The 23,313-nt window shown below is 37.2% G+C and overlaps 1 protein-coding gene across 2 annotated transcripts in view; it reads left to right on the top strand.

Annotated features, from left to right (window-relative positions):
• The window catches only part of CNTNAP3 (contactin associated protein family member 3), a 223,458-nt gene that overhangs the window by 105,285 nt on the left and 94,860 nt on the right, over positions 1-23,313 (top strand). For both annotated transcript variants that reach the window (NM_001393379.1, NM_033655.5), the window contains exons 5-9: positions 4,523-4,726; positions 5,381-5,565; positions 6,791-6,934; positions 11,253-11,514; positions 16,807-16,950. In NM_001393379.1, coding sequence (NP_001380308.1) covers positions 4,523-4,726; positions 5,381-5,565; positions 6,791-6,934; positions 11,253-11,514; positions 16,807-16,950 — 939 coding nt within the window. The remainder of the gene's footprint in view (positions 1-4,522; positions 4,727-5,380; positions 5,566-6,790; positions 6,935-11,252; positions 11,515-16,806; positions 16,951-23,313) is intronic.

The following is a 23,313-nucleotide window of genomic DNA, read 5'->3' as shown; positions in this document are numbered from 1 at the left end:
GCCTTGGCATCATAGTGAGACCCCCCATCTCTAGAAAAAAAGTAAAAAATTAGCCAGGCATTGTAGTGCATGCCTATAATCCCAGCTACTTGGGAGGCTGAGGCTGGAGGATCACTCTAGCCCAGGAGTTCAAGGCTGCAGTGAGCTGTGAAGATACCACTGCACTACAGCATGGGCAACGGAGTGAGTCTCTGTTTCTAATAAAAGTAAAATGTGAAGGTAAAATATGGCTTAAGGAAATAAAGGAAATAGCAACTCAAAATTACTTATGTCTTAGCTTTTCAGAGACGTCATACTTTGCAGGAGTCTAAAGCAGGTAGACTCCTTCCTTATCCTTTCTTAGAAGTCATTCTGGACCAGATGCCTGTTTACAGAAGCATCACTGTGAATGTGGCAGAAACAATCGTATTTCAGGATTATATGACCTTTTTTCCATACTGTGGGATCCTTAAAAGTAATTCATTGTCTTCTGCATTTTTATCTTTCACCTAGCATATGGAAGGCTTTCAGTGAATATTAGCTGTATGAATGAGGACATAACACATTTTAGCAAAATTACTTCTGACACAGTTCTTCCTTGTATGACAAAGTTCTTTATCTACAAGAATTCGTATTTGGGAACTTTGTGAACACATCTGTCCTTAGCTTTTCCGATATTCTTTGAGGAAGTGTGACAAAAACATTATAATTGCACCAATAATCTTCAAGTATCATTTAAAAACTCTAGTGGTCCTCTAACACAAGAAAATGAGATAGATATATTAATACTTCTGAGTAAGATTTAGGTTACCAGTGATTGAAGTGAGTCAGCCCAGGAACAAGCTGGCTGGCAGAGAAGGAGCTGTGTAAGTGTGGATGAATGGTTGTAAATCTCTTTTTCCTGGTGGAAACTGAAGATTTCCTAGGTCCTTCAAAAATTAAATCCGCTATCATTTTAAGCTGTCTACTTTCCTATATATCCCCTATGTGCTATTTTAAACTCATTTCCACCTCTTTTTCTGCCCAGTGCCCTGACAATAATAATGAAGCCGTCGTTCACTGAAGGTACCCCATGTGCCCAGCACTGTTGTAAAAGTACAAATACTAACTCATTTAACCCTCGCAACGACCTTGTGAGAGAGGAGTGTATGTATTCTCACTTCACTTATGAGTAGACTGAGGCAGAGAGAGGCTATGTAACTTATCCAGGATGGAGCCAGGATTCAAGCCCACGCAGTATATACTCTAGTGTACTAGAAAATGTAGCTCCTGATCTAATGGTGACAGACTAACGTGTCAGGGGTCCACATTGCTAATACTGATTGAGATTCAGCAATCAAAACTATAATCTTAATTAATAAAGCTAATAATTATAAACTAAATTCATGTAAAATTAGAAAAGCACTTCCTGCTTTAAACCACAAGCTAAGTTTTCTTTATTCATTTTGGATAGCAAGGCTTTCATTCTGAAAACTTTGAGGAACGTTGGATTTTATCGTAAACATAATAAGTGACATTAATTTTCCAGTATCCCACTACATTTCCTATTTATATAATTGAATTTCATACAAAGGATTTTTTCCAACAGGTTTCTGAGAAAAGATTATATTAAATGTGTTACTGGAATTATTTTATTTTAGTGTATTATTCAAATATATATTGTAGGGGAATATTTGCATTGATTATGGCTAGGTAGAACTGTTTTTTTCTTGAAATGGGGTCTTGCTGTGTTGCCCAGGCTGGGGTGCAGTGACACAAGCACTGCTCACTGCAGCCTCCATCTCCCAAGCTCAAGCGATCCTCCCACCTCCCCCTTCCAAGTAGCTGGGAATATAAGCAAGTGCGACCAGTCTTGCCATGCTGCCCAGCCTGGTCTCGAACTCTTGGGCCCAAGTGATCTGCCCGCATCAGCCTCCCTAAGGGCTGGGATTACAAGCATGAGCCACTGCACCTGACCAGCTGGGAGAACTTTTCTTTGCTCTTGCAAGTGTTTTAAAATGCTAAAAGTATGACTTTTGTGGACAAGTGGGAAGAGAGTTTACCTTTTAGCATTACTTCTAAGGACCAAGACTTGAAATTTTGCTTCTCCAGTGGGAGGATCTTATTCAAGAGGGACTACATGGGAGTTGTCCCTCTCCAGTGCTGATCTTGGTGGGCTCGTTACTGTTGACTTATTGAACTCAATGCTTTCCATCCCAAACATCATTTTTTGTTTCATATTTTTATGTATTGACTTCATAAATCATAGAATGTTTTATGATTTTTAGAAAGTTTGGATTTGCAATTCATTAATCTGCTTTTATTTTAAAATATGCATAATGAGCTATAAGTATATTCTTAAATTTCTAGATACAAGCACTAGCGATTACAGTAAAGAAAAAATCAAGGTATTAGCTAAAGAACAAAAGAGTTTCAAGGTCATTGCTTTATGTCTCTTTTACTTGATAAGTGTTTTACTATTCTATTTGCCTGAGGGAAACATTCCAGGAACTGTACTTCACATGCCTTAGAAGATCAATACTGCTGTTGGAGAGTAATAGTAAACATAGAATGAGAAAAAGAAATGTATAGGTTGCAATAATCCAGAAAAAACCTTTTCGGGAAGAAAACTTTTTTTGTTAGTCAACTAAAAAAAAAAAATAGCTCAAATATTAGCATTTTCTTTAAGCAACAAATAAAGACATGATTATAAGTATTAGGGCAGTGCTAAAAATGTGAAAGTCTGTAGTCAATCTTTTTCAGGTTTCCCTTAGTTCATGGCCAGGTAATAATAATCTTAGATGTCTTCATTTACATTTGACAGAGAGTTTTGTTTTTATCATGAACATATAATAAGTTATGTAACAAGGAATAATTGTTTAATTTACACATATTTTACTCAGAATGTGTTTATTCATCATGCACTTGATACATTAATTCCTTGTAAGTACATTAACCCAATGTGAGAAAATCAAACTTCTAAATTTTAAAATGATACATAAAATGGAGAACTTTTGAAGTGCAGTTTATTATATGTATTTCAGATAATGTGAATGAAATGGATAGCCATGCAAAAAGTACTAGTAATATTTTTGTGAAATTAAATATAATTAAACAATGCCATCTTATTGGCTTGAATGACATCAGCTAGTCAGCTTCAAATAGTTTCATATTTCACTAGGTTTTCATGCATCTTCATTTATTAAATAAATATATTTTTCAAAGGACAATTGCTTATTTTTCTTTTTACTTTTAAAAAGAAGAGATTTTCTGGGTAATATTAATTTCTTCATGTGATTTTGACAAATATTATCAAATATTATTTTATATTACTGATAAAATGAAACAACTTGTTTTTTGATGAGCTGAACATATGTGACATTTATAGTGAATTTATAAGACCCTGACAGAGTGCTGAGAGAGTGTGGCAGCATTGGAGTTCTGACAAGCTACAGCAGGAAGAACCAAAACAGAGGTGTTAAGGCCATGCTCTCTCAACAAAGCATCCAAGAAAACAAAACCTCTGTGCCTTTGTCAGACAGGGCTCTCCAGAGAAACAGAACCAATAGGATGTCTGTGTGCCTGTGTGTGTGTGTGTGTGTGTGTGTGTGTGTGTGTGTGTGTGTGTGTGTGTGTGTAGAGAGAGAGAGAGTTTTAAGGAATTGGCTTACCTGATTGTAAGGACTGGCAAGTCCTAGGTAAGAGGTGATATTGCAGCTGGAGTCCAGAGGTTGTCTGGAGGCAAAATTCCTTCTTTCCTAGAGAACTTCAGTTTTCTTTCTTTCTCTTACAGCCTTCAACTGATTGGATGAGGCTCACCCACGTTATAGAGTTTAACCTGCTTTACTCAATGTTTACTGATTTAATATTGATTACCTCTAAAAAATACCTGCACTGCAACATCAAGACTAGTGTTTGACCAAAAGCTGTTTACCATGGCCTAGCCAAGTTGACACATTGCAGTGCCCATTAGCAGTACCATTAGCCGAGGGTTGAGAAAAATATTACATGTCAGCTCATTTAAAATACATTTATTACATGTCTAAAGCAGTATTTAATAAGTATGATATGTGTTTCTGTATCTTTACAGACAAAATCTTTAGTAAAGTAGGTACATGTGTAAGAATCAAGAGAAGCCAAAGCTACTGGGAATGAACAAAGGTATTTAAATTGAGTGACACTGATATTTAATATAAGAATGACCTTAAAATAAATAATTTATGTAGTGAAATACAGCTTCTTTCCTGATTGTTTTTAATCAAACAGAATGAGAAGAAATGGGCTGCTCTAAAGATAAGAGCCATTGGGAGTAGATTAATAAAAGCATTTCTAGATGATGAAGTTTGAGAAAATGTTAGAAAATTCTAACGGTGGGTATTACATATATCAACTCATGATGCCACCAGAAAATATATTATTGTCAGTTGTTTCCTTCAATGAATGGCTTAGAAATACAATGTGTGTCTATGTGTGTGTGGTGTGGCATATTGATGCACACATTTTCAATGTGCTACTGTATGACATATTTATATTTAGAATTGCTTTCTAATATCTTCTTTCCTAGAATCTGAGGTGGTTTATTTTGATGGACAAAGTGCTCTGCTGTATAGACTTGATAAAAAACCTTTAAAACCAATAAGAGACGTTATTTCTTTGAAATTTAAAGCCATGCAGAGCAATGGAATTCTACTTCACAGAGAAGGACAACATGGAAATCACATTACTCTGGAATTAATTAAAGGAAAGCTTGTCTTTTTTCTTAATTCAGGTAAAAAAATACTTGAACTTTTATACCAGTAGTTAAAAAAAATCTGTTTACATTTGTTGGTACTCAGTCTTTTCACAGTTAGATAAAATGACCATATAATTCATCATCTAAACCAGAACACCTTTAAGAAATAAAAAATACACAAGTGATAGTTACTCTGGGACAGTAAGTGCAAAGTAGAACTGCAATGAACAAATGTAAATGAAAATTTAAGAGCATTACTACCAGATGCATGCAATACATACATATCCTAAGTATGATTTCTGTAAACAGCATATATTTTGACAAACTGTGCAAGATCACCATATGTGTGTATAATATATATGTAATATATGATTATCCATATCATAAAGACAATACATCATTATAAAATTATGAGATAATGCTGATAATGAGGTTCTAAGAAAGAAAATATTTGCATTGTAAATCCAAATGTCATGAGTAATAGAAAAAATACTAAGAAAAATTTCAACAAAGTGTAGAATTGAACTTAAAAAAAATAAAAACAGGGTAAGGTTATTGTGTTCAAGATAGGGAGAAAGTGAGAAAACAACTCTGTAAGATGGAAAGTTGGATGCAAACTGTGATGCTCAACTAAAAAAGGGAAGCTGTGATTTTGAACAGAAATAACTGTTTTTTTCCTTCTCCTTTAAGGCAATGCTAAGCTGCCTTCCACTATTGCTCCTGTGACCCTCACCCTGGGCAGCCTGCTGGACGACCAGCACTGGCATTCCGTCCTCATCGAGCTCCTCGACACGCAGGTCAACTTCACCGTGGACAAACACACTCATCATTTCCAAGCAAAGGGAGATTCCAGTTACTTGGATCTTAATTTTGAGGTTATTATAGATATATAGTTTAAATTAAATATAACCTGAAAAATAAGGTAGCTGCATAGAGAAATGCCATTTTATAGTAATTCATAACTAAGTTGACTAATAGTAATAGGTATGGTATGTCTGTCCCGGTACTATGAAACTGTTTATGCCTTCTAATAGGTCAGTTTATTATAATAGATCATCTTTTCCACCTTGGAAAGAAGTAAACAGTCAGTGTTAGGTTTAGGAAATCCACAAATGCAGAAATACCAAAGTAGCAAGCATTGTTATTAAATGTACTCATTTGAATATATTTCATTTGAAATTTCATCTGGTATATTACACTTGTTGTTTGACTATGCAGATTCCTGGGGGATTTTTTTTCTTGTCTTGGTGCAATCCTAACCAACATAGCATTATTTAGGATCACTTTGAGAAGTTAACAAGATATACACCAATAGATTTATTAAATAACAAGAAAAGTCAGATGCTCACATATAAATAATATCCTGATATTTTTTAAGTCATTAATGCTTTTTGCAACCCATTGCCCATATGTATCTAAGCTACACTGTTAAATAGCATCTATTCTTTCAGTCCTTTACAGGACACCTTAAAGTGTATGAAGGATCATAACAAACCAGAAAAACTGTGATATTTACTGGCGTAAGTGGCTTTGGCATATAATATTAAACTGAAGATCCTAGTCCTATACCGGATTATTCAGTTTTATTACTTTAATTTAACCATGTAATAGCAAAAGATAATATCTAATGCAGAGGTTGGCAAACTATGGGCATCAGGCCAAGTTTGGACATTTTTTAATTAAAAAAATACAAAGCCTGTTTTTGTTCAAAAGAGAAGGTTTTATTGGAACATGTTCTCTTTCTTTATGTATTGTCCGTGGCCACATTGGTACTTCGTGTCAGAGTTGAGTGCTGCAAAAGAGATCATATGACCCACAAAGGGTAAATTTACTACATGGCTGAAAATTTCAATGTGGCAGAAAATGTGTGTTGACTTCTTCCTTTTAAGTTTGTTCAAAACTGTGTGGTGCCAGAAATAAAGGTATTAACAGCTGTCATTATGATAGAACACTTCATTTGGAATAAGCAAGCATGCAAATATAAGATAATGGGAATGGATTTGTGACAGTTAGTACTAGACCTATTAATTATAAATGCTTTAAACACGTACCATCAGAAAATCACTAAACAATGTTATTTATGTCATTTTTCTTTCTAAGATCAGCTTTGGGGGAATTCCGACACCCGGAAGATCGCGGGCATTCAGACGTAAAAGCTTTCATGGGTGTTTAGAAAATCTTTATTATAATGGAGTGGATGTTACCGAATTAGCCAAGAAACACAAACCACAGATCCTCATGATGGTAAGGAAGCCTAATGGGAAGGAAAGAAAAAAGGACATTTTATTTTTTGCATTTAAAAATTATTCATGTGAAGTCTCCATTTCATCTAATATTTTAAGAATCAGTTCTTACTTTAACAGCTGCCCATGTAATATAGTAATTTAGTTTTATTTATTTATTTATTTTTAAGACAGAGTCTCCCTCTTGTCTCCCAGGTTGGAGTGCAGCGGCGCAATCTCAGCTCACTGCAGCTTACGCCTCCCAGGTTCAAGCAATTCTCCTGCCTCAGCCTCCTGAGTAGCTGGGATTACAGGCGCCCGCCACCATGCCCAGCTAATTTTTGTACTTTTAGTAGAGACGGGGTTTCGCCATGTTGGCCAGGCTAGTCTCGAATTCCTGACCTCAGGTGATCTGCCTGCCTCGGCCTCCCAAAGTGCTGGGATTACAGGTGTGAGCCACTGGGCCTGGGCCAATTTTTTTTTTTTTTTTTTTGAGACGGAGTCTCACTCTGTCGCCCAGACTGGAGTGCAGTGAAGCTCTGCCTCCTGGGTTCACGCCATTCTCCCGCCTCAGCCTCCCGAGTACCTGGGACTACAGGTTCCCACCACCATGCCCGGCTAATTTTTTATATTTTTGGTAGAGACGGGGTTTCACCATGTTAGCCAGGATGGTCTCGATCTCCCAACCTCGTGATCTGCCCACCTCGGCCTCCCAAAGTGCTAGGACCACAGGCGCACTTTTTTTGTTTTTGTTTTTGTTTTTGTTTTGAGATGCAGTCTTGCTCTGTTGCCCAGGCTGGAGTGCAGCGGTACAGTCTTGGCTCACTGCAACCTCCGCCTCCTGGGTTCAAGCCATTCTCCTGCCTCAGCCTTCCGAGTAGCTGGGACTACAGGTGTGTGCCACCACACCCGGCTAATTTTTTTTAGTACAGACAGGGTTTTGCCACATTGGCCAGGCTGGTCTCAAACTCCTGACCTCAGACGATACACTTGCCTCGGCCTCCCAAAATGCTAGGATTACAGGCACGAGCCACCTTGACCCAGCCTAATATAGTAATTTTTATTATGCATAAAAAGTTATAAAGTAAATATGCCTCATGGGACATCGTTGTTTCATTTTTATATGAAATAAAATAACTTTCTATTTTTACATGGAAATCAGAATTCATATGTCTCACGTGTTTTTGGTGTTGTTATCCACAGGAGACCAATCATTTTGCAATGGCAATCCCTAATGATCTATTCCCTAATCAACTGGAAATACTTCCAAATCAGTTAATAAACTTCTTTCAATGTTTAAAGTTTGAAATATCCAAGTTGGGGTTAAAGGGAAAGCTCATGTTTAGTTGTCAGTGTATCTCAGCAGCACATCATGGGAATATTTATTTGTATTGTTGGGAACATGTTTTCTTTCCTGTTATGTGCTGGAGGAGTTGGCTCATGGGTTGCAGGACCAAAACCTGAAAATATCTCTGACTGTGTGTCACCAGACCACACAATGAATACATCACTTAGGTTAGCATGAGAAAAAGGGAAAAACAGCTGTGAAGCCCATGAACTTTCCAAGAAGGTAAAGGAGAAAAAAAAAAAAAAAGATGGGTTTGAAGTCTAAGTTTTACTATGAACAGCACCCTGCTGAGATCATAAAAATGAAAAATACCATCAAGATACATGAAAAAGGAAACACCAAAGGGAAGAGTGATAACAAGGCTCCACAGAGTGCAGTTTCCTTTGACAAGATGAAAAAGAAATGAAAAGAGGAAGGAGATAAATGGAACAGCCCTCTACCTAAAGTTTCTGTCCATGGAGAAACTGACATTTAAGTGCTGCTCAACAGGAAAAAGAAAAAAGACCTGGTTATTGAAGTTGGCTTTGTTGGAGATGCGTTACTCAGATACAGATACAAAGATGGGTTTGGCCAATGGGCATCCGTGTCAAGAAGCCTGACCTAACACGTTCTGAATATTAAGCTACCTTTTATCTGCCAGTCCTTGGTGTTCAGAAGAATCCCTCCTCCTCACCCTAACTTCTATGGGGCTATTTACAAAGACACTGTCATTGAAGTGAGGAAGAGTGAGTTGGGCCTTATGACACAAAGAGACAAGACTATTTGAGGACAACAGACACAGGTTTTCATATACATTCCATGTTATTCTGAATTACTGATGGGTTCACTGATGGAATTATTGAGTATAGCCAATAAGGAGAACCACAATTAAGCTGGTATCTCTGGGTTCTGGATATCATCCTCAAGAAAACTATTTACTAATTACATTGAATGAGGTTATTAAAATGTGTAAGTTTCACACAAAAACAAAAAGACAATTCATTCCAAATTGTGCATATGGATATATAATGTTAATTATGGGAATTCCATTTTAAGAATTACTACAATTCTATGTGTTCTGTATAAAAACAGGAAAATAGTTGTTCCAATATATAAAAGGAAAACATTTAAAAATGTATTTTGTTGGGAAAATCAGTTGCCAGAATTCATTCAGTCAACTAACAAGCACTCCTCTGTGGCAAGAAGCCCTGCCTCTCTGTTGTAGCAGGCAGCTACCCACCTAAATGATGAGGTCAAGAAATATACAGCTGATAAAAAGATAAAAAATATGTAATAGTCCAGTGATTACATGTGTACTATGGATCAGTGCCAATTACTTGTAAGCTTTTGGTATTTAGTTTGTTACAGCAAATGTTTTCTTTTTTAAATTTTCTTCTGCAAATGTTTTCTTGTCATGAAAACTGTTTCCCATTTGGCAGAATTACAAAAACAGTCAAGAAGAAATGTTCTGATTGATGTATACAGTTAGAATGTGTATTAAAGATTATTATAAAATGATAACTGAATTATATCCATTTCTAAAGTATGTTGGGACAGAATTTTTTAAAAATGTGATTCTGTTTTGAAAATTGTTTTACCACTGGATCAGTGTGGTTCTTAAACTTGGCTTTATCTTGGAGTCACCAGAGGAGATTCAAAAGATACCATTACCTGGCTCTACCTCCAGAGATCGGGATTTTAATTGGTCTGTATCTGGATTTTAAGAGCCCTTCTGGTGATTCGACTGTTTAGCTAGGTTTGAGAGCCACTACCCTAGATTATCTGTCCTGCTCCAGTAACATTCTTTTTCTAAAATCATTTATAGTATATTAGAAATAAATCCATGGAAATTCCAAGTAAAATCAGAATTACTGGGGTTTTTCTCTGGAACTGAAATTCCTATGTGTGAATAATGCCCAAGAATTGCTTATTCCTTTCACCAGCCAAACAAAGCAAAACAAACAAACAAACAAAAACCATTTAAAAACCTAGTAAGATGTTGACTTACCAGATATTAAAGCATACTAAAAGCTTCTATACTAGAATCAGTATGGTAGTGGATAGGAACAGAGAAGTCAGTAGAACAGTCAAGATCTCAGAAAGATCCCAGTTTATGTGCAAAGTTGTTAGTAACAAGGAATGTGGCTCAATTCAGTGGAACAGGGATGAATTATTTCTGAAATTCTGCCGGAACAAACAAGTGTCCATAAGGCAGAAAATAAGCATGATCACTATCTTATACACACTAAGAATATGTAAATTAAAGAGGATGAGAAACAAACAACAATCTTAAAGAAAATCTATGAGATTGTATGTAGGACCTAGGGTAGTATGAAACTTTCTTAACAAAGATTGGAAACTCAGAAGCTGTAAAATACAATATAGACATAATTGACTATATAAAAACATCAATGTTTTCATGCTAAAAATACTATATGCAAACATTGCATATAACTATTAGATCTGAAAACCATTTGAAAGGCTGTCAAATATAACTTTCCAACAGCTAAAAATATGACCCATACAAATATCAAATAAGCATGTGTCAAAGATTTAGTCAATTCATTAATGAGGGAACCAGTAAAATAGTAAGCTGGTTCAAAAGAGATTTTGAGGATTGTGTAGAGAAGACCAAATGTTGCTCAGGAGAAAGACTGAGTATGAAAATGTCCTGTTATTTGCTGTATCCTCAGGGCTAGCACAGGGCCTGGAAAATAGCTGGCATAGATTAAACTCCTGTTGAACTAAAATTATATTGAGACTCCTTTACTAATGCTGAGAAGTAGAGAAGTGGAGAATTTCTCACACACACACAGAAAGCCACATGGATGTGTGCCCAATTATAATAATACTTATGTTGAAAGAGAAGATAAATGTTATAGATTTCAGCTTTAGCAGGCAGACTAATCCTGGATTGATAAAAAGCCTTGTACGTCTTCGTAAAATCTGGCTTTAATTAGATAGAAGCACCACCTGTAAGGCTGCTCAATGTGCTCTTTTGTTTTATTTATAGGGAAATGTGTCCTTCTCATGTCCACAGCCACAGACTGTCCCTGTGACTTTTCTGAGCTCCAGGAGTTATCTGGCTCTGCCAGGCAACTCTGGGGAGGACAAAGTGTCTGTCACTTTTCAATTTCGAACGTGGAACAGAGCAGGACATTTGCTTTTCGGCGAACTTCGACGTGGTTCAGGGAGTTTCGTCCTCTTTCTTAAGGATGGCAAGCTCAAACTGAGTCTCTTCCAGCCGGGACAGTCACCAAGGAATGTCACAGCAGGTAACAGTTGTATTCCCATAAACCTGACATATCCACACGGAAATCATTTGGTAATTAGTGAGTGAGTGAGGCAGTGAGATGCTCCATGCCCCCACTAGAGGAACAGATTGCTGTTTCCTTTTAGACTGTTCTGTGTGGTACACCCCGCTGCCACTAAAGTGTTCTTTTGACCAAAATGACTATGTATGAGAAATATGAAATGCATATTTCTGCAGACATACCTTCCCATATACAAGGAATATCCTTGAGCTCCATTTCCTGACAAACATATACCAGCCTCCATCCCAAAGAACTAGGGTCAGGACCTCATGGAACAGACAATACCTAGAGGCACATTCCTCTCCTGTCCTCCTCCTCCTTTCCCTTCTCCGCCCCGCCGCTCAGGGTCTGTGCACAAATATTCTATACACAGTAGGCAATTGATAACTATCACTTTACAGGGAAAGATGCCCGGCAAATACCAAGAGTTCTTATTCTTTCGTTGATGGCTGATTCGTTTTCTGGGATAGCTGGGCACCCTGGAAGAATCTCAGCTCCTCCACTTACTGCCCTTCTGAAATGTAAATCACGAAGCCTCCTAAGCCTCAGCTGTTTTCACTTGTGAAGTGGTAAACCTCAGATCTCCTTTGCAGGGAGAACAATAGGAAGTCTGATTTTATTAGCACAATGCCCACCCCACACACAGGCCCTCACATCCCCACTCCCCATCAGGGCCTGTTTTTGTTGGGCAAATGCTAGGTTAGGGGCTCAAATCCCATGAAGCCAGACTGAGTTACAATAGATGGGAACTAATCTCACATGCAGTCAGATGTGGGCAAGTTTGTTAACTACAGAGCTGCTGGATTTTGATGATTTTGGATTTGCAGATGGGAGGAGCACTGGGTCCTAAATTGACATTGTGCCTAAATTGGCATCGGAACTAAATGGGGGCTTTAAAAAAAAAAAAAAAGCGTAATCTGAAAAAGAAAAAGGCACAGACGAAGAGGCTGACTTCTGCTTGAGACCAGGGGGTAATCATACTCAAAAAAAGATTCCTTTTGGCTGTAAGAGGCACACGTGACTATACTGCTATTAAATGTTGTGGTATAAAAGCACGATTTCAAGACCCGTGAAGAAATTCAGAGGGCGGGGCCTTATCTCAGTACTTCTGGAACAATCAGGCAAGTCCTGGGTGTTAGAATCTATGTCCACCTCACACAGGTGTTTCAGGGGAGATAAAACAGATATTCAGAGGGGACGTATATTTTTTATCTTTTAGAAATGCAAACCTAGTTTCCATTTCCTCACGAATAAGATTTTTTCCAAGAAAGGTTAAAATCGTGACCTACACACAGATACAGAATGAACACATGTCAGAGATTTTCTTTAACTCATTGATGAGAGAACCAGTGTTAGGGAAATAAGTAAAGATAAAATGGCCCACCAACATAGTGAATCAGTTTCACAAGGTAGAAATGAAATAATCTTATTATGGAATAAGTATTAAGCCAGACTGTGATGTACATTTCAGGCAATCGCTAATGTGATTGCAAAGATAAAGAAATTTCATCCATTTATATAGCCAGGCAGATACAACCCATTACATACATGTTCTAAAGATAAAGGACAGCTTGTCCTCAAGTAAGAGGACTTGACAGCGCCGTTTGCTACACAGCCCATCTTACATTCACCTGGTGATTGGGGAGGCACACTCCTTTATGCAAAGGAAAACTAAACTCCATGTCTCTTTGACAAGTGGGTAGTTGCAACTTGGAGCCAGGCACCTACGTTAAACTCCCACGGAGACAAGGAGATAGGAGCACTGCCTTTCTTGGTGTTTACATTTCAAAGAAATGTCTCCAAGGTCCTCAAGAAAAACACTCCTGGAAACAAGAAAGAGGCTAAATAAGATTTTGTTTTAAGATTTTAAAGATGTACAATTACAAGTTTTCTGAAAGAAATGCTCTAAGGAAAAAAAGTGAATGAAAGTGTGTATCCCTTTTAGCACTAAGAAAGCTTTTGTTTGTTTTGGTTTGTGTTTACCCTTACACCAGTAAGGCCTGTTTAAAGAAGTACCACACATTTATAGTCAGAAAAGAGATGCCGACTAGCTAAACTTGTCAATATCCAAAGGGAAAGGCAAATCCCTTCCCTGTACACACTTTGCATCTCTATGGACAAGCATTATTTGCATTATTATCAATGTTCTGCAAGTTAACTTCTGTCACTACACAGCTGTAAAGTAACCTAGTCCAAGATGATGGTTTACAATCCCGTAATATCAGCTAATCTTTCCATTGAAAAGATACCCAGTAATCTCCTTTGCCCATTGCAAAGACTGCCCTCAATTTTTTTCCTATAGTAGTTGGTTCAGTTTTACTGCTGATGAGTTGCATATATTCTGGATTCAATGAAGTGCTGAACAAGCACTTCATCCAGTTCTGGGTTGCACAATAACTAGAATTAAATATAATTAAAGTTCTTAAATCTCATCAGGATTTTGCTTTAGCTCATGGCTTTGTGAGTGTGATATTTTGCCTCTGCAGTTAAAATGTTGTAGTTGTTAACAAGAGATCATCTTCATATCAAATGTGTTTAAAATAACATCTATGTTGTGGGCAATTAATTTAGTAACTTCTCATTGAAATATTTATAGATTCTACTGTATCTGATTTTCTTGTGCATAAACTATGGCCAAAGGCCAAATACAACCTAATAGAAAACAAAAATAAAACAAATGTGGATGATAGACATGAAAACAGTTATACAAAGATCTGCTTTTATTTGTCAAAAGATATTCTTAAAGAGGGCACTTTTTGCAGTTATAAAAAGAACATGTCAAAGATTTTGTTTAACTCATTAGTTTATGAGAGAATCAGTAAGATGTTACTGCTGCAATGATTTTGTGTATAATGTAAAACTGGCTTATTCCATGGGATGGGGTAGAGGAACCAGGAAGAAGTTCAATTGTATTCCTGCCAGACAAAATTCATTTGCATGTCTATGGACAATAATCATTTGCCTGCTTTCAATTTTCTACAATTCACAGGGTGGTAAAAGAATTCAAAGAAGGGGCCAGGTGTGGTGGCTCACGCCTGTAATCCCAGCAGTTTGGGAGGCCAAGGCATGCAGATCACGAGGTCAGGAGATTGAGACCATCCTGGCTAACACGGTGAAACCCCATCTCTACTAAAAATACAAAAAAATTAGCCAGGCGTGGTGGCGGGTGCCTGTAGTCCTAGCTACTCAGGAGGCTGAGGCAGGAGAATGGCTTGAACCCGGAAGGCGGAGCTTGCAGTGAACCGAGATGGCACCACTGCACTCCAGCCTGGGTGACAGAGCGAGACTCCATCTCAAAAAAAAAAAACAAAAACAAAAAAAAACTCAAGGTAAAAGGCACAGAAACCTGCAGAATCATATAATCCTCCAGATTGTGTTTAGACAATGCCTAGTTTTACATTGAAGACATCCAGAATCTTGGTTGATTTTAAAGAATAATTTATTTCCTTACACTTTATTACTACTTCTGTTTCTGTTTCATACATCACTGAAGGTTAAAAGGGAAAGCTAAAATATTAATGTTAATGTTTAATTTTTAAGAAGTACTACATTTGAAATGGTAATAATATACTAACTTCACATAAATGCATGTTAGGAAGAAAAATAAATGAAGCATAGAGTCATTTTAATAATTTACAGGTTTCCCAGGACTATCAAGTAAAATGTTAACTTTATAGGAAAATTTCTATTAGTCTAAAGTTTATTATGATATATGTAACTTCTGAAATAGTTTCAATCTTGGCCTAATTTTAAACTTCAGTGCAAAGTTAATTTAATAGGCCTCATGAAGCTAATCTTATTTTTAGCCCATTTATTGGCATGTATCTTTGACATATTATCAGGTAAAAGAAAGCACAGAATACCTCTAGTGATTTTAAATACCTTAACATTTAACTTTACCATCAAAGACAATTCATTTTGTTACCAAATTATTTGACAGGATTAATTTCATAATTACTACTAAGAATCATAAAATAATGTGGATGTGAGTGTAAATATATAAAAATATTGCACATATATAAAGTACAACTCCAGTTCTTTCCTAAGCATTTTTTATCAAATATTAAATAATAGCTTTATTTTATTTTATTTTATCTTTTTGAGACAGTGTCTCACTCTGTCACCCACACTGGAGTACAGTGGTGTGATCTCAGCACACTGCAACCTCCACCTCCCAGGTTCAAGTGATTCTTGTGCCTCAGCCTCCGAAGTGACTGGGACTATAGGCTAGTGCCACCATGCCCAGCTAATTTTTTGTTTTTTAGTAGAAATGTGGTTTCACCATGTTAGCCAGGCTGGTCTTGAACTCCCGACCTCAGGTGATCTGCCCGCCTCAGCATCCCAAACTGCTGGGATTACAGGCATGAGCCACCATGCCCAGCGAATAATAACTTTTAAAAGACAGTATAATTATATCTATAATCATAATTTGTTAATTCAGAAACACACGAATATATGTTAAAGATTTTAACTAATCTATGAAGAAACCAGTAAGATGTTACAATCAGTTCGGAGGATAATTCAAAGTACTACACATACAGGCAGATAAGAAATGCCAAAATGAATTACAGACAGATATGAAATGGTTCAGTAAGCAACTGCACCTCGCCAGGCACTAGTCATTTGTATTTCTATGGGTACAAGTCATTTTGCATTACTATCAGTTTTCTACAATTTACAGGGCTGTAAAATAGCTCAGACAGTGAAAGCAGGGTTTACCTTAATTAATAGGTGCAGTAAGCCAGACATCCAGTGATCTTCCATTTCAAATCCTGTCACACCCCATAAGTATGTGCAATTATGTGTCAACTTTTTCTAAAAAAAACTTTTCACAATCATTCTTGACGTATTTTTTATCAACTCACTTTCTTGATTCTTGTAAAATGTTTTTGTTAGATTCAGTAAAGCAAGTAAGTTTTGCATTTGAAGATTAAACCAAACTGTGTTGTTTTTATCCCATTGTAAAGGCTCCTACTGTATATATTTGATAATTAAATTCTAGTTACTTTAAGCAAATTACCAGAATTTGTTACAGTGATTCTTCAGAAAGAGTAATATTTTTATTCATGTGTTATTTTCGTAATAAATGAAATTTTTAAATTAAAGATAGGTGGTTAATTTTTTTTTCAGTGATACATGAACATGTAAATACCACTCTTCTCTGACTTATTCAGTGATCTGAATCAAATTGTTTTCAAGTGTTTACAGAGCTCATAATTTAGAGTTGTCTCTGACTGATTGTATTTCCTCCAGGTGCTGGATTAAACGATGGGCAGTGGCACTCTGTGTCCTTCTCTGCCAAGTGGAGCCATATGAATGTGGTGGTGGACGATGACACAGCTGTTCAGCCCCTGGTGGCTGTGCTCATTGATTCAGGTGACACCTATTATTTTGGAGGTAAGAGAAGGCAACTGAATGACACTGGCAGTGGAACCACTTTTTATCTTTATTGCTTTGCATTTTGAGTCTCTAGTCAAATTTAAACCAAGTTGATACTAAGAAATAATTTATCTCTAGCCATGAAATTAATACCTTTTGAGTTTATAAAAAACATGAAACATTTAATCAGTTTTTCTTCCCAATACAAAAATAAGTATCTGCAGAAAGTTTACTTGCTGTTTAAATAACTTCATATTTTCATTTAACATTAAAAGAAAAATATATTTGAGCTACATGTAGTAAATAAGTGGAAACTTTCAAACAATATCATAGTCATATCTCTACAACAGATAAATCCATTTATACTTCTAACAGTTAGCTCATAAAAACAAAACAAATCGTACTGTCTGAAGTCATTGGCTTACATAAAATATTACTTATATATTTAAGTCTACATCTAAATCTATACTATTGAATCATTATTAGTACACAGCTCAGTTTATAGATAGATGGATAAATATTTTTTACATGGAGAAGGCGTAATAGGAAATATACTGATTATGAAGTACTTTCAAAACATTGACAATGTAAACAAATATTAATTAATAGGAGACAAACATATTAAATGAATCCAGTATAATTGGTGTTACACTGGTGCAAAGTATTGAATGTTTGCTTCCCCACCCCAGATTCATATGTTGAAATCCTGACCCCAAAGTCATGGTGTCAGGAGGCTTTGGAGGGTAATTAAGTCAGGAGGGTGGAGCCCTAATGAATGGAATTAGTGCCCTTATAAAAGAGGCCCAAGAGAACTCCCTTGCCTTTCCTGCCATGTGAAGTTATAAGGCGAACACTGTGGTCTGTGAAGCAGACACTGCATCTGCTTTGCCTCAAACTCAGACTTAGACTTTCCAGCATCCAGACTGAGAGAAATAACTGTTTGTTGTGTAAGCCACTCTGTTCATGGGATTCTGTTAATAGCAGCCCAAACTGACTATGAGAACTCATACAGCTAAAGAAATGGAAACAAGTGGATCTTTTGATTATAAAGGAAGTTTGGATTTTTTTAAATTAAAAGAACCACTAGGAATAACAGCAAAACCCTGCTATGTATTCTAGAATGCTCCTGTGAATCCAAAGATTAAGCTTTTATATCTGGAAACCACAGTTAAGAGAAACAATCATGTGAGAAAACTTATCACTTGGGGGCATGGATGCCTGTACATTACAACATTCTGTTATCATCCCATATCACCACATATATGATAAGAAAACTCACTCTCGAGTAAGAAAGTTTTCAACTACGTATGAAATTCCATGCTGGACACAGATACAGAGAGCCACTTGCACTGTACCTAAACACTGAAGTGTTACTGAGGTAACTTAATTACTTGTAATTCTTACTGGAAAGGTAAATATATTCAGCCTTTCTTAGTAATAAAAATTGTATGTAAACAGAAGTATAGATCTAGTAATAGAGACTTGTTATATACATGCAGTCCTGTACATTGCATTTTACCTCATCAGTATTTGTGGTATTTCGCAAAGAATATATACTTTTCCAAATATACAGCCACAGACATTCAAAGACTTCACTGAGCTGTCCTCTGGCACACAGGTGTATTTAAATTGTTAAAGAAAATTAAAATGGCCTGAGGTATCTCTGACCAGACAAAGCCTTTTAAGTGGCGTTAACTTTGCTTGATTTACCAATATAAGCAAAACTTGAGCTATTTCTTGTAAATGTCTTTAAAAATAAAAAAAGTCAAACTTAAGGCTAACCAATCAGAAGCCAATTAACTTATATAACTAGAGACTTTCCAGCAGGATCAACCAAATAAGGCAATTGTATAAGTACAACCAGTGAAAAATTTGCTACTATATTTACCTTACAGAAGCTGTCCCTTTTTGTTCCCTTGAAAGGGTCCCTGAACCAGTTCCCATTTGAAGCTGCTTCAACAGTGATTCATGAATCACTGTTAGCTCAAATAAACTTTTGTGCCTCCATTTACCTTTTATTAATGGATACATTTATATCTGTAGTTGGATGCTTTTTTCCTCTAAGCAGACACAAAGTAAAACTGAAGAGCTTAAGATTTTTATTTATTTATTTATTTTTATTTTTTGAGGCGGAGTCTCGCTGTGTCCCCCAGCCTGGAGTGCAGTGGCGCGATCTCGGCTCACTGCAAGCTCTGCCCCCCCGGTTCACGCCATTCTCCTGCCTCAGCCTCCTGAGTAGCTGGGACTACAGGCACCCACCATCACATCTAGCTAATTTTTTGTATTTTTAGTAGAGACGGGGTTTTCACCATGTTTGCCAGGATGGTCTCGATCTCCTGACCTTGTGATTTGACTGCCTCGGCCTCCCAAAGTTCTGGGATTACAGACATGAGCCACTGTGCCAGGCCAAGATTTTTAAAATTAGTTAATGCCTTCGTGTATCTTGAGTGGATGATAACATAGGAGTCCTCAGAAAAATGCAGACATGCCTGCCAACCTTTTCAGAAGAGCGAAGTTGGCTTAAGGAATCATCATCGGTCCAAGATTGTTAGTGATCTGAGAAATTTCATGTGCTGAGGATGATGCCAAATTAAGGGTTTCCAAGTATGAGTACCAGGATACCTCCTATACCTGCTGTCAGCCATATGTGGTATCGACAATTGCCTCTAACAAAATTTTTCCAAACCAAGTAGAAAAAAACAGTAAACAGAACAGAGATTTTTTTTTTATTAGGATGGGACTGAAATCTGTCCCTCCTTCAGGATGAGGGCTGTAATCTGTGTGACAGAAACAGATGACAGAGTTTGATCCACACTACTTTGTTTTCAGAGCTGCTAGCCCAGATGGAATAGGTCCAGAAAGAAACTAATGAAATAAGCAATAGAAAATCTCAAACATTATAGTCTTTGACAATGTATATTCATATATAATTCCCATTTCCTTCAGAAAATACGTGTTGCTTCTCTTTTTTTTTTAAACTTATTTTAGGTTCAGAGGTATACATGTGCAGGTTTGTTATATAGGTAAATTGCATGTAATGGGGGCTTGGGGTACAGATTATTCCATCACCCAGGTAATGAGCATAGTACCTAGTAGGTAGTTTTTCGATCTTCACCCTCCTCCTACCCTCCACCCTCAAGTAGGCTGTGGTGTCTATTGTTCCCTTCTTTGTGTCATGGGTACTCAATACTAAGCTCCCACTCCTAAGTCAGAATACATGGTATTTGGTTTTCTGTTCCTGTGTTAGTTCACTTTGGATAATGGCCTCCAGCTCCATCCATGTTGCTAGAAATGACATTATCTCATCTTTTTTTATGACTACATAGTATTCCATGGTATATATGTACATTTTCTTTACGCTACTGTTGATGGGTATTTAGGTTGATTCTATGTCATTGCTATTGTGAATGAACATGCACGTCTGTGTGTCTTTATGGTAGAAGGATTATTATTCCTTTGGGTGTGTACTCAATGGGGTTGCTGGGTTGAGTGGCAGCTCTGCTTTAAGTTCTTTGAGAAATCACGAAACTGCTTGCTGCAATGGCTGAACTAATGTATAATTCCCCCAGCAGTGTATAAGCACTCCCTTTTCTCCACAGCTTTACCAGCACCTGTTATTTTTCGCCTTTTAAATAATAGCAATTCTGACTGGCGTGAGATGGTATCTCATTGTGGTTTCGATTTGCATTTATCTCATGACTAGTGATGCCGAGGAGTTTTTCATATGCTTGTTGGCCACATGTATGTCTTCTTTTGAAAAGTGTCTGTTCATGTCCTTTGCCCGTTTTTTAATGGGGTACGTTTTTTTTCTTTCTTGTTAAGTTCCTTATAGATTCCAGACATTAGACCTTTGTCAGATGCATAATTTGTGAATATTTTCTTCCAGTAGGTTGTCTGTTTACTCTGTGGATAGTTTCTTTTGCTGTGCAGAAACCTTTAGTTTAATTAGGTCCCATTTGTCAACTTTTGTTTTTGTTGCAATGTTTTCGGTGTCGTTGTCATGAAATTTTTGCCATGTCCTGTGTCCAAAATGGCATTTCCTATATTTCCTAGGTTATCTTCCAGGATTTTTGTAGTTATAGGCTTTACTTTTTTTTTTTTTTTTTTGAGACTTTAGAGTCAGTCTCACCTGTTGCCCAGGCTGGAGTGCAATGACACGATACAGCCTCAACCTCCCAGGCTTTAAGAGGTTCCCCCACCTCAGCCTCCTGATTAGCCTGGACTACAGGCACGTGCCACCACATCCAGCTAATTTATTATTATTATTATTATTATTATTATTATTATTATTATTGTTTGTAGAGACGAGGTCTCGCTATGTTGCCCAGGCTTGTCTCAAACTCCAAGGCTCAAGCTATCCTCCCACCTCACCCTCCCAAAGTGTTGGGATTATAGGCGTGAGCCACTGCACCTGACACGTTTTACATTTTATTCTTTAATCCATCTTGAGTTGATTTTTGTATATGGTGTAAGGAAGGGGTCTAGGAACTGCTTATGGTTAGCCAGTTATCCCAGCACCATTTATTGAATAGGGAGTCCTTTCCCTACTGCATGTTTTTGTCGACTTTGTTGAAGATCAAATGGTTTTAAGTGTGTGACATTATTTCTGGGCGCTCTATTCTGTTCCATTGGTCTGTGTGTCTGTTTTTGTACCAGTACTATGCTATTTTGGTTACTATAGCCTTGTAGTAGAGGTTGAAGTTGGCTAACGAAATGCCTCCAGATTTGTTCTTTTTGCCTTGGATTCCCTTGGCTATTCAGGCTCTTTTTTGGTTCTATATTAATTTTAAAATAGTTTTTACTGGTTCTTTGAAGAATGCCATTGGTGATTTGATAGGAATAGCATTGAATCTATAAATTGCTTTGGGCAGTATGGTCCAATATGGTTAAAAACCATATTTATTATTCCTATCCGTGATTATGGAATGTTTTTCCATTTGTATGTCATCTATGATTTCTTTGAGCAGTGTTTTGTAATTCTTCTTGTAGAGATCATTCACCTCCCTGGTTAGCTGTATTCCTAGGTAGTTTATTCTTTTTGTGGTCATTGCGAATAGGATTGCATTCTTGATTTGGCTCTCAGCCTGCATGTTGTTGGTATATAGGAATGCTACTAATTTTTGTACATTAATTTTGTATCCTGAAACTTTGCTGAGATTATCAGATCGAGAAGCTTTTGGGCAGAGACGATGGGGTTTTGTAGGTACAGAATCATATCATCTGCAAACAGAGACAGTTTGACCTCTTTTTCTCCTATTTAGATGCCTTTTATTTCTCTCTCTTGCCTGATTGCTCGGGCGAGGACATCCAGTACTATGTTGGGTAGGAATAATGAGAGAGGGTATCCCTGTCTTGTCCCAGTTTTCAAGGGGAATGCTTCACATCTTTTGCCCATTCAGTATGATGCTGGCTGTGGGTTTGTCATAGGTGGCTCTTACTATGTTGAAGTATGTCCTCCAATGCCTCATTTGTTGAGGGTTTTTAACATGAAGGGATGTTGAGAAAATACCTGATGCTTCTCTAGAGACAAATATATGAAAGCAAACAACATTTCATGAAGGAATGAGGAATATTTTGTGGCAGCAAGAATGAGAATGACTCTCCAAGATGCCCTGGAAACTGAATATGTTACATCACATAAGGGATTTTGCAGATGTAATTAAGGTTGCAGACCTTAGGAGACGATCGTGATTCATGCAGTGGGCTCCATGTAATCACATGAGCACTTAAGAGATTTAACTCTGGTTGGAGGCAGAAGAGACACAGAAGAGAGGTGTGGGTGAGGGGAAGCCAGAGAAACTAGAAGCAGGAGAATGTCTCTCTGCACCATTGCTGGTTTAGAAAATGAACTGGGCACTATGAAGAGCAATGCAGGCAGCCTGACATTGCTGAGAGGCCCCAACTACCAGCCAGTGATGAATTGGGACCTCACTCCTACAACTACAAGAAGTTGAATTCTGCTCTAACCTGTATGTGCTTGGACACACATTCTGCCCTAGGGCCTTCATAAGGAGCCCAAGAGCACCTTGATTTTGTCCTTGTAGGACTATAAGCAGAGTCATCAGTCCAGCCCTCCCACACTTCTAAAGTGAGAGATAATAAAGAGAATATTTTAGTGATTTGTTACAGTGATGATTAAAAGCTGATACACATTCCAACCTCCATCAGATCCATTTACAGACATTCCCATTCAGTTCTAAACCCTTGGACAATGGCCAAAAAAAAAAAAAGCTTTCCTCAAACACACCCTGAGAATATACTGAAAAAGATTACATATATCTATCTATCTATCTATCTATCTATCTATCTATCTATCTATCTCCAGGCGTGGTGGCCCACGCCTGTAATCCCAGCACTCTGGGAGGCTGAGGCCGGCGGATC

Source organism: Homo sapiens, chromosome 9, assembly GCF_000001405.40.
Source record: "Homo sapiens chromosome 9, GRCh38.p14 Primary Assembly".
NCBI lineage: Eukaryota > Metazoa > Chordata > Mammalia > Primates > Hominidae > Homo > Homo sapiens.
This window is presented reverse-complemented; position numbering and strand designations above follow the sequence as displayed.